Here is a 12,204-nt window from a genome sequence, read left to right as displayed (position 1 = left end):
GTCAATAGCCATCTATCATGAACCAGCATTCTGGAGTAAGTCCTTAACGGCCATTTCAATGGACAAAATCCAAATTTGCTGGTGTTTTTTGGTGCCCTTGATTATAAAGCTTCAAAGACTCGATTTCAAAGAGAAATGAAGAGTCCCCTCTTCCTTCCCTCATGGCATTATTTTGATTTGGAAAATGTGAAATATTTGAAACTTGATTCTTCTGCTCCACCTGCCCAAGACAAGAGTCATGCTTCCTGCTAATGAATGATAATGATGATCATTTCTTCCATGAACTGTATCTTGGTCTAAACCCCACACTTCCAAGCTGAATGTTAGTGTTTCCCCAAAATTGCTATGTTGAAGCCCTAACACACAGTGTGGCTGTATCTGGAGATGGGGCTTCTAAGGAAGTGATTAAGATTAAATGCGATTGTGAGGGTGGGACCCTGATCCCACAGGATTAGTGTCCCTATAAGAGATGGCAGAGAGCTCCTGCTTGCTCTCTCTCCCACTGCCACCCCTCCCCACCACCGCTACCCCCACAGGCACCCACCCAGGAAGGGCTATATCTACATGTGAGCAAGAAGGCAGCCTTTTGCAACCCAACCCTAGGGGACAGCCCTCACCAGAAACCAAAGCAGCTAGAACCATCATCTTGGACTTGTGGCATCCAAAACCATGATAAAGTAAACTGTGCTTTAAGCCACCAGCCTGTGGTATGTTATTATGGGTCCAAGCAAACACAAGCCATTTTATCTCTGGGGCAGGAAAGCCTTCCCAAGGGCTCCTCTGCCTCTCCCATGTGCTCTTACAATGCACCTGTAGCTCTGTGACACTTATCAGTCACTGTCGGAAGCAGCTGCCTTTTCATCTGCGTGGTTCCCAGGCCACCCTGCTGGAGACGCTCTGCAGAGGTGCAGGACACATGTTCTGTGCCTGCCCAGTGCCCTAGGCACAGCGAGCCAGCTGTGGCACACTACCAACCCAATTCAGAAGTACTCATGATGGCCCCAAACCAGGAGGAACATCACAGAAGAAAACTCTTCAGGGACCCAGGAGCTTTGGGACCCCTGGGTCGAGGTCAATGTGACAGTGACATTTTTCTGGGATTCTGATAGCGCCTTTTTGTCTCTGGCCTGAAGAAGGGGCCACCTGCAGACCCCTCCCAGCAGGTGTACCGCACCATCGAGCACATGGCACAGAGTCCTTCTTGGGCTGGCATCTGGCTGTTTCCTGCTTATGCGTTATTGTCCCCAGCTCCAAGCTCTCTGAAGCCCAAGCTCCTGTGTGACACTTGTTTCATGCTACTCACCCTTGGCTCAACCCAGCAATACTTCCTCCTACCTCTGAGCAGCACCAAGAACTGGTGTGGTTGGGCACAAATGAAAAGCAGCCTGTCAGGGAAGGCGGCAGAAGGGCAAGAAAGGGTTTTAGACAAAGGAACAGTCAGGAACAAAGGAAGCGCCAAGGCAGAGGCCTGAGAGTCCTGGCTGTGGTGTCACATGGCCTAGGGCTGGAGAACGAGGACTGGAGGGTCTGGGGTGCAACCGCCACTAGAGCGGGGGGAGAAAACGCAAAGCTGATTAAGGAGCTGAAAGGCAGAAGTCAGCAGCTCCTACAGGGTCAGATCAACGGGGCCACCATCCTGGGTGGCCGCCATCCGGCCTGGGTGGCCTGAGACGGCCACAGAAGATGTGCTGTGGACGCAGGCTCACAGCCTAAGGTCTCACCACCCGGGGTCACCGCCAAGATCCAGCCAACTACAGGGCGGTCAACCTCCACCCGATTGTGAATACATTCACCAGATCAGTCAAGAAGTCCTAAGCCAGCCTTTCAGAGAATAATAAGATGGCAGAAATGGGCCAGAAATTGACCAAAACTAATGAAGGGCAGCTTCACTTCAAAGCAATCACTGGGTAAGCAGCCTCACTGCGATGCCTGCACTGTGAAAAGTCAAATGAGAAAAGTTTATTTATAGCTCAATCGAAGTCCTTGGCCACCAACAATAACCTCTCCTGGAGGAGACAGGGTGACCCTCCTCTGACACATCAAGCGACGGAAATGTGCGACCAGCAACAACACATTCCCCAAGAATATGGAAACATAAATAGCCTCAAACACAGTGACCATGCCAATGAGATTAAACATATCTAAAGTGGGTGTGTCTAAATACATGTGTGTGTGTGTAAAGGCATGTGTATAGGGGTGTGTTTGTGCATGTATAGGCACCTGTGTATACGGGACTGTGTGTAGGTGTGTGTATAGGCATGTGTAGGGGTGTGTATATATAAGGGTGTGTGTGTGTGCATATGGGTGTGTGTCTGTGTATAGATGTGTGTAGGAGGTGTGTGTGTATATGGGGGTGTCTGTATAGGCATCTGTGTGTAGCTGTGTATGTGTATGGGGGGTGTGTATATGGAGAGTGTGTATATAAGGCTGTGTGTGTATATTGGATATGTGTGTAGGTGTGTGTGTGTATACGGGAGTGTACATGTATATGAGGATGTGTGTATATAGGCATGTAGGTGTATCTGTGTAGGTGTGTATGTGTATATGTATATGGGTGTGTGTGTGGGTGTGTGTGTGTGTGTACAGGCATGTTTGTAGGGGGTATGTGAGTATACAGAGGTGTGTGTGTGTATAGGTTTGCGTGTATGTTTATATGCATATGTGTGTAGGAGGGTATGTGTGAATATGGGAAGGTGTGTGTTACAGGCAGGCAGGTAGGTATGTCTAGGTGTGTGTAGGTATGCGTGTGTATATGGTGGGTGTATAGGCATGTGTGTATAAGGGTGTGTGTTATAGGGGTATGTGTATATATGTGTATTGGTGCGTGCATAGGGGTATGTGTGTACAGACATGTGTGGAGGTGTGTGTATATATGAGGGGTGTAGGTGTATAGGCATGTGTGTAGGGGGTACCTGTATACAGGAGTGAGTGTATATGTGTATAGGCATGTGTGTAGGGGGTGTGTGTATAGTGGTGTTTCTGTGTATAGGCATGTGTGTATATATGAGGGGTGTGGATATATAGCAGGTGTGTATAGGCACGTGTGTATAGTGGTATGTGTATATACAGGCATGTGTTTGTGTATAGACACGTGTGTAAGAGTGTGTGAATACAAAGGTGTGTATGTATACAGGCATGCATGTATATGTATGTGGCAGGTGTGTGTATATGGTGGGTGTGTATAGGCCTGTCTATATGTATAGGGATGTGTGTGTATAAAGGCATGTATGTGTATGCATATATGACAGGTGTGTACAGATGTAAGGGTATGTGTATATAGGGATATGTATGTAGGTGTATGTGTATATGGCAGGTATGTATATATAGGGGTGTGTGTATATAGGCACTTATACAGGGGTGTGTGTATGTACAGTAGTGTGGGTGTATCTATACATGGCAGGTGTGTGTACAGGCATTTGTGTAGGAGTGTGTGTGTATATAGGCATCTGAGTGTGTATATAGAGATGTGTATGTAGGTGTGTGTATGTGTATATGGCAGGTGTGTGTATGTATGAGGGGTATGTGTGTATATAGGCATGTGTGTAGGTGTGTGTGTATATAGGCATCTGAGTGTGTATACAGAGGTGTGTATGTGTATATGGCAGGTGTGTATGCATGAGGGGTATCTGTGTATACAGGCACATGTGCAGGGGTGTGTGTACAGGAGCCTGCCTGTGTATATGGCAGGTGTGTGTATAGGCATATGTGAAGTAGTGTGTGTGTATAGGCATGTGTGCAGGGTGTGTATGTGTATATGGCAGGAGTGTGTATATAGGGGTATGTGTAGGGCTGGGTGTGTATACAGGCATGTGTGTATGTATAAGGGTTGTGTGCAGGGGTGTGTGTATATAGGAGTGTATGTATATGTGTATGTGGCAGACGCATGTATATAGGGGTGTGTGTATGAGGGGTTGTGTATGTATGAGGATTGTGTGCAGGGGTGTGTGTATAGGAGTGTGTGTATATGTGTATATGGCAGATGCGTGTATATAGGGGTGTGTGTAGGGGTGTGTGTATGTATGAGGAGTATATATATAGGCATGTGTGCAGGGGTGTGTGTATAGGAGTGTGTATGTGTATATAGCAGATGTGTGTATAGGCATCTGTGAAGGGGTGTGTGTATATGAGGGTGTGTGTGTATACAGGCATGTGTGTAGGGGTGTGTGTATATAGGGGTGCATCTGTAGGTGTGTGTATACAGGCATGCGTGCGTAGGGTGTGTGTATACAGGCATGTGTGCGTAGGGTGTGTATACAGGCATGCGTGCGTAGGGTGTGTGTATACAGGCATGCGTGCGTAGGGTGTGTGTATACAGGCATGCGTGTGTAGGGTGTGTGTATATGTATCTGGTGGGTGTGTGTATACAGGCATGTGTGCGTAGGGTGTGTGCGTACAGGCATGTGTGCGTAGGGTGTGTACAGGCATGTGTGTGTAGGGTGTGTGTGTATAGGCATGTGTGTGTACGGTGTGTGTGTACAGGCATGTGTGTGTAGAGTGTGTGTATACAGGCATGTGTGTAGGGTGTGTGTATACAGGCATGTGTGTAGGGGTGTGTGTGTATACAGGGGTGCATCTGTAGGTGTGTGTATATGTATCTGGTGGGTGTGTGTATAGAGGCATGTGTGCGTAGGGTGTGTGTATACAGGCATGTGTGCGTAGGGTGTGTGTATACAGGCATGTGTGTGTAGGGTGTGTGTATATGTATCTGGCGGGTGTGTGTGTACAGGCATGTGTGCGTAGGGTGCGTGTGTACAGGCATGTGTGCGTAGGGTGCGTGTGTACAGGCATGTGTGCGTAGGGTATGTGTGTACAGGCATGTGTGTGTAGGGTGTGTGTGCGTATACTTTAATTTCAAATAACACATTACATTTAAGGCCACATTCTTGTCATCTGTAACCTCGGGGAGCAAAGGGTAACCTAGAGCTCAAGCCTGGGTCTGAATTCCACTTCACCCCACTCAGAACTCACCCCTGGAGGATTACCAGATAAATACAGAAGAATCAGTGAACTCTGAATTTCAGTGTGTGCCAAACACTGCTCAGGGCATACTTATATTAAAAAATTGTTCACTGTTTATATGAAATTGAAGTTTAACTAGACGTTCTCTATTTTTATTTGCTCAGTTTGGCGCCCCTAGCCCTTGGAGGTTCCGTGGGGTTAGAAGGTAGAGAGATGCAGTTGTTTCCATTTTTTACTAAAGAGAGGCAAAGGCACAGTTTGCAGGAGAAAACTCAGAAGGCACATGGCTGTGGCCCATCCTACATCCCCTAGGCGGCCCTGGCGACAGCTTCGATGCTGTTGCTGGGAAGGCCTCTGGGCTGCTGCTCCTTGCAAGCTAAGTTCAGATCAGCTTAGCAACTATCAGGTTTTGCCAGCAGCTCCTCCTGACCCATGAGGGCCTCCCAGCCTTAAGTCCCCTCAGAACAACGTGAGGGTGGAGCCCACCAGAACCGGGGCCCCAGGGAACAGCTCTTCCCACTCCCCTCATCCAACGGTGCCCTGGCACCACCACTGTGGCACCAGAAACAATCCAAGAGCCTCCCTTTTAGTGCCAGTGTCACCCCCAATGGGACAATTCTCTGATCTGAAATGCAGTTGTTTATGATCTACTCTTAAATCTGAAAAAATCAAGAATGGACATAATCAAATGGACACATCTGCTGAGGTTTCAAATATTCTTTTAAAATACTGAAAAAAGTTCTCTATGGTTTTTTTAATCAAAAAATGTAGCAAATATCTCATTTATACAGACGTCATCTATGTCACAAAAGATGCATGACACTGAGTACCAGGTGGGGCTGGCCCCAGAATTCACACAGAGGGGCTCTGACTCCAGCCTTTGGAAAGGCTAGGGCTGAAGCCCACTCCTCTGGCCATTCTATCTTGGGGACAAACAGGGATCATGTGATTTCAGAGGTTAACATCAGACGTGACAGATGTAAAAACAAAATGTACAGGGGACGTCATTAGGATTCACTGCAAAAATGTGGAATTTCAAGTAGGTGTAAGCGTTCTCGATGTAATACGGAGTGGAAATCTCATCGTGTGCTTTATACGCTGAAATTCTATCAGTTGGAGAGTAAAGGTACATTTATTATTACAGCAGTAAATTACTAAATAATTGGTGCGAACTGTTGATTTTATATACAAAATCCTTTGCTAAGTAGGGAACAGATTGACAATTAATAGAAATATTGAGAACACATTAGCTAGATAATTTTAGAAAGAACAGCATACCCTCTTTGAGCCTACAAATGCTTATTAAATTTTAAGTAACACAAGGCAGGATAATACAGATTAGGCGACATCCTAATTCTATTTTTTGTGGAGTTGCTGGACACATGCCCTATTCTAACATAAAACAAAATAAACTTTAAGACTTATATTTAACTTTTAGTTATTTAATTCCACTTAGCCATGAGCCTTGTTTCGAGAATTTTTCAGAAAAATTATTCTTCCTGAAGAAAAATGCCAAGCCCTTAAAATATTCCAAAAGATTATATAAAAGAATTAAATTTGGGTTAAAACTCCAGATTTATGCTCTTATCTCTGAAGTCCTTTCTAGGCTGGTGCCTGTGGAGCTCGGCAGCACTAGCCACCAAATACCCACTTACAATCATCCACAGGTTCTCAGAAGCTGACCTGAAGCAAAACGACATATAATGAAACCAATTTTACCACAGGGTGATTGACAGAAACAAGAGGTAAGTTTCAATGGCATATTTCTGGTCACAAAAACATCACCCAACTTTTTTTTTTTTTTTTTTTCTTTTTTGAGATAGAGTTTCACTCTTGTTGCCCGGGCGGGAGTACAATGGCGCGATCTCGGCTCACTGCAACCTCCGCCTCCCGGGTTCATGTGTGTGGGTCACTTTATTTGAAAAAGGTGTTTGGAGTTATTAAAAAAAAAAAAAAAAAAAGAAAGAAAGAAAAAAATACAATTTCAGTTGTAACTTCCTCCAGACAAGATTTTGTTTTGCTTCTCACTAGCATTCTGGGGAACTCCAGTATAGAATCATCATAACTGAGGTTCAAACAACCCTGATCCTCTCAGGTTGGAACCTAGATTTTATGAGGGAGTATCACGTCCACTTTGCCCTCACGTGTCACTATTCTGGGTCTCACAAACTGTATGGGCATTTCTCAGATCCCTATCCTGACTAATCGGGTTGGATGCAGGCACTACATGAGGCGCCCAAACCACAACCAGCTTTGGGATGATTTTTCTTCTGCATCAGGAAACACACACCCAGAACACTGGTGGCTTTAGAGCTGGGCATACCTAGCCAGGTCCTAGCTTCACTCTGGCCCAGGAAGTCCTTATTTTGTAGATAGCAATTCAATGCTTTTAAGACATTTATTTTTCTTTCCTTTTTTTTTTTTCTTTTTGCTTTGTTGGCTTAATTTAAAAAAACAAAAAGGTCTTATCCAGTGGGAAATGTGGTTGAAATTATCTAGCCTGCCACGACTGAAAACGCACGTTCCTCCTACTCTCACCTTTTTCTTTCACTCCAAATTCAGTGGCTCCAGTCACCCTCTCTGATTCTGTGGGAACTCATACAATGTCTGTCCCGAAGGATACAGGGGGCTTCCCAGGGAGTTCCCCATCTGCGGGCTTGCCTGTCGCTTTACTCCCTGCCCAGCACACACCCTCGAAGGCTGCCGCCCATCCTCCTTTCCACGCGGCTTCCATTACAGACACAGCCCTCTCTCTTCATTCTCAGCACCTTCGTGTCTCCACGGCAGACTTTTACTAAAGGTTTAGGGATGACAAAGAAGGGTCACAGTACTACTCAAGATAGGAAGAAACTACTCAGAAGTGCTTTTGAGAGATTCTTTCACAACTCCTTACCACAAGAAAACAAGAGTGATGCAGCCCCTCTTCCGATCTGCCCTCTCACCCCTCACCAGGCTTCCCTCCATCCCCAAGACCTCCCCCTCCTCCAGCTCTCTGCTCGCTCCTGATGAGCCCTTATCCTCGCGCCACCACTGCTGAAACTTCCGCTTGACTTTGCAGAGCAATTCGGCTCTTTTCTGAACTATTCCCATCTGGGCAATGCCCTCAAAACCTCTCCATTCTTAATCAACGAGTCCATGAAGATGTTTTCCTTCACTGAATTATCAAAATTTTCTGAAATAAATGCTGTCCTTCTCCTAAAACGCAGAAAAGAGGGAGAGGCTTGGTTTTTGTTTTTGAGATGGAGTCTCGCTCTGTCACCCAGGCTGGAGTGCAGTGGCACGATCTCGGCTCACTGCGAGCTCCGCCTCCCGGGTTCACGCCAGTCTTCTGACTCAGCCTCCCAAGCAGCTGGGACTCCAGGCGCCTGCCACCACGCCCGGCTAATATTTTGTATTTTTAGTAGAGACAGGGTTTCACCATGTTAACCAGGATGGTCTCGATCTCCTGACCTCGTGATCCGCCTGCCTCGGCCTCCCAAGGTGCTGGGATTACAGGCGTGAGCCACCGCGCCCGGCCTGAGAAGCTTTTTTTTTCTTTAAGCAATTTTTTCTTCCTAGAATATCCTCTGCCCTTAATAAAATCTTTACAATCCCTGCAAAAAGTTCCAACCCACAAATCCTTTCTCTAGGAGGCAAGTGATGAAACAGGTGAGGGGGAGCTTCACGTGGCCGAGACCTGCAGATGCTTCTCCCAAGTTTGCTCAGGGATGATGGCGCCCACCAGTCTGAGAGCTCAAACGCGAGAAATTCTGTCTATTTACTGCTTTAGCAGCCTGGGTATTCTTATTATGAGGCCATGATAGAAATTCCTTAAGGTTTCATTAGAAGAACAGGAACAAGTTAGACAGTTTAACCTCTCAACGGCAACACACATCTTTCTCTGTTGTGAAGCACTGATCCTTTAAACAAAAAATTGCCATATGAAAATGGCCTACTCAGAGACTGCGCTGAAAATAAAAATATGATTTACTAAAAAGTACAGATTTCGTTGGGGTTCCTTTGGTTATCGCTGCTGCTCTCTTAAACAATCATCCAGCGAATCCGCAATGTGCTTCTTTCTGAACCACAGCACCAGAGAAAATCAATTCAAGTATTTCCCAAACTGCAGCACCGGAACAAACGAGCACTAACCACAACTTTCTAACCTCCACGAAAACACGAAATACGCCTTCCAAGGGACACAAGCGGAAAAGGAGGAACCTGCTCAGAACGTGTAATTCACATCTACTGCAAATCATACTTCAGAGGAACGTGTAATTCACATCTACTGCAAATCATACTTCAGAGAACTCAGTGAGGCTGGGGAATGCTTGTGAAAGTGCTGGCAGGGAAAAGAACCCAGCCGCACCCAAACAAGACCGCGCGGTGGAGCGTGCGGTGAGCGCACATGAACGCACTGACGGAGGCAAAAACGGTATTTTTAACAGATGATGGGTTGAAAAGCAGCTAAACGTAACACTGAAAGTATTATCAGAAGAACTGCAGACAACTTCATAATATGGAAATTAGGTAATCACCATGAGACACAGAGTTAAAAATCAGATTCAATCAAGGAACAAAATGGAGTTTGTAATTTGTAGGAGTCCATTTTAGAATATCACTCAGCAGTTTCCCAAACCGAGCGCCCTTCCCGTGAAGACTGCTGTTACGGCCTTCTGTGCTAAAGGCGCAGGGAGGGGAAAAGGCACAGTGACCGGCAACGCTCAGCGGGCAGGGCCCTGCAAGGCACGTGGCCAGGGCTAAGTTTCCAACAAAGTGCAATTTGTCTCCACATTCTGTGAAATAATTTGCCAAGCGCGCATGGGACTCTTTGTGAAAGAGCATGTCTCTTTTCCACACCTCATCACTGACCAGCTGGTATCACAAATACATGCCCGGTTCTGCTTGGCATCACTTAGTTAATGCTCTGTTCATTAATTTAACAAACTATCAGGAGAATATGCCTGGAACGGGCAAGCATTATCTCTCAGCTTCCATTTAATTAAACTCTGCTATTGTAATATGACAGTCAGCACATCGCAGGGGGGATTATTTTAAAGATGAAGGCAAAAAGTATTTCAAAGCCCCCACTTAAACATGAAAGCACAATCTAAAATTGCCTGAGCACATACTATAATTTTTCTATAATATTAAAGATGTTATTTCCAGACTCAGTAATTAGTTAGATTCCATGGAGAAATTATTCTAGCATCCTTGATAGAAAAATGATGCACAGAGGCAGGGAACAGAGTACCGAAGGACCACCATAAACAACCATCCGTCACCTAGATTATGACAATCACCAGGCTTAATAAGGAGTGAGCACTGCCTGCTTTGGGTGCACACTCACTACTGTCCTGCAAAGTGAATGTACTGAATTCTGATGATATCCCCTTAATAAGAAGAAATAAGAGCAGCTCACGCACCAGCAGCTGTCTCAGAAGGATGCCCATGAGGGATCCTGAGCAGGCCAGGATGCTGCCGGCGGATGAGGACAGCTCCCTGTCCCACCGAGGGCTGAGGGCCACCTCCCCCCGCCCACAGAGAGGGGCTGCGCGGGAAGCTGGCTTACCATCAATCCGGCTCACGAGTTCTTCTAACATTTTCACTTTCATTTGAATCCCAGGTTGGGCAAAGGTGTAGTTGTCCTAAGGAAAAAAGAATAATGTGAATCATATGCATATAAAATAAAACAAACTTTCCAAAAGGGAAAAAGGCAGCTGGGATAAAGTGAACAGCTTTATAATAGGACGAATTCACAAACAGAGATTTTATCTCGAGAAACACACAAGTGGATGCACCCTGCACAGCACAGCGCCGCTGACTGCTATTTTGAGAAGGGAAAGGCCAGTATTTCCCGATGTCAGGTGATAAGCACGTGCATCTCAGGGAACACTGAATGGTACATTTCTATTTGTAAATGTAAGACACTTACATCTAAATTGAAAAACAGGCATCCATGGGCATAGCTCATTGACCAGAACCGTCTGTGGGAACTGACCACCTCGCTGGCCACCTGGACCCTAAGCACTCAGCCCTGCCGGGAACCAACGGCAAAGGTGCCCGGTGCTGACAGCACCATCATCGTGGCCACAGTCCAAATGCTAATGACACAGTCACTGCATGGGTGAAAACAGTGGACATGTGACTTTACTCTCAGAGATATAGTTGGGTGAACTCAGGTGAAGTTCAGACACTAACATAGGAAGGTCTGCATAGCATCAAAGGGAAGGGGGCCTGGGCAGTTTCAAGTCAAACAGCCCAGGAATGGGGCCCCAGCTCTAGGACTCAGGAGCTGTGTGACCTTGGCAAGTAACATAACCTCTCTGGGCTTCCGTTTCATTACCAATAACATGAGAGTAATAACACTGCCTTCTAGGACTCAGGGAAACAAACAAGTGGAATGTGGAAGAGATTTCAAGACACAGCAGGTACCGGGGCAGTGACAGGTCCATTACTCCTGCTGTCACCACCTAAGGGAGCACACACATGACACTAGGGGGTGCTGCCTCATCCCACAGCAGGAACATGAAGAGGCAGCTCCCATCAACAAGGGAAGGGCATTCCCTATGGAGGCTGCCCTTTGGGCCTCAGCCGGTGGTCGGGGGCATTTTCAGAAGGAGGGTTTCAACCAGACTCGTGGTTAACAGACTTAAATCTATACCCAACAGCAGTGAATGTGGAAGGCAGAATAATAACCAGCCCCAAAGATGCCAAGGTTCCACTCCCTGTAACCTGTGGATGTGTGGCCTTACATGGCAAGGGGAACCAGGGTTGCAGGTGGAACTAAGGTTGCTAATCCATGAACCACCCGTGGAGAAAGGAGAATCGGGAGGCAGCGAAACAACGGGCACTGTGCCTGGGGCTCCTGTGGGTTCTGGCCTACGCTTCCAACTCTTTAGTGAGCACACAGGGCCTCTGGCCCGGCCAGCACTGGGAGATGACTGCCTGTGGCAGCTCTGCCCTCAGGGAGTGACACTGGGGATGGCCCCATGAGTCTCAGCTAGGGGAAGCCAGGCAGGCCACTGGCCTCAGTAAGGGCACAGGTAATGCAGTCTTGGTCCAAACAGGAGGTGCTGGGCACAGGCAACTGCAGCTCACCAAGTGGGCTCGGGCCACCAGGCAGGTGCTGGCTCGTAGCAGGCAGCATCAGGGCAGCCTTTCCGACAGTGGGGGATGATCTGCTGCCTGTGCGCCTGAGGGGGCAGGGGTCTGCAGGCACCACCTGGCAGGAGGGAGGTGCTGCTTTGCGTGGCAGCGGGGCAG

At 47.0% G+C, this 12,204-nt stretch overlaps 1 protein-coding gene across 14 annotated transcripts in view, besides 3 other annotated features; it reads right to left on the bottom strand.

Annotated features, from left to right (window-relative positions):
• Positions 1-12,204, bottom strand: part of TBC1D22A (TBC1 domain family member 22A) — a 413,050-nt gene that overhangs the window by 167,480 nt on the left and 233,366 nt on the right. For all 14 annotated transcript variants that reach the window (NR_104292.1, NM_001284304.2, XM_017028742.3 and 11 more), the window contains 1 exon segment: positions 10,511-10,586. Coding sequence is in view for 13 of the 14 variants with exons in the window: in NM_001284304.2 (NP_001271233.1) it covers positions 10,511-10,586 (76 nt within the window). In the remaining variant the exon portion in view is untranslated.
• Positions 6,654-6,843: an enhancer, noted in NCBI's record as "active region_19267". NCBI's record gives its function as "activates an Ori minimal core promoter by ATAC-STARR-seq in GM12878 lymphoblastoid cells {active_cell/tissue: GM12878}" and the evidence as "EXISTENCE:reporter gene assay evidence [ECO:0000049][PMID:35858748]".
• Positions 7,744-8,243: an enhancer, noted in NCBI's record as "H3K4me1 hESC enhancer chr22:47395873-47396372 (GRCh37/hg19 assembly coordinates)". NCBI's record gives its function as "activates a minimal SCP1, AML or CMV promoter by ChIP-STARR-seq in primed H9 embryonic stem cells {active_cell/tissue: H9 hESC(primed)}" and the evidence as "EXISTENCE:reporter gene assay evidence [ECO:0000049][PMID:30033119]".
• Positions 8,244-8,745: an enhancer, noted in NCBI's record as "H3K4me1 hESC enhancer chr22:47395371-47395872 (GRCh37/hg19 assembly coordinates)". NCBI's record gives its function as "activates a minimal SCP1, AML or CMV promoter by ChIP-STARR-seq in primed H9 embryonic stem cells {active_cell/tissue: H9 hESC(primed)}" and the evidence as "EXISTENCE:reporter gene assay evidence [ECO:0000049][PMID:30033119]".

The sequence above is a fragment of the Homo sapiens genome, chromosome 22 (genome assembly GCF_000001405.40).
Source record: "Homo sapiens chromosome 22, GRCh38.p14 Primary Assembly".
NCBI classification, from domain to species: Eukaryota; Metazoa; Chordata; class Mammalia; order Primates; family Hominidae; genus Homo; species Homo sapiens.
The sequence above is the reverse complement of the archived record's forward strand: the minus strand, read 5'-3'. Positions and strand labels throughout refer to the sequence as shown.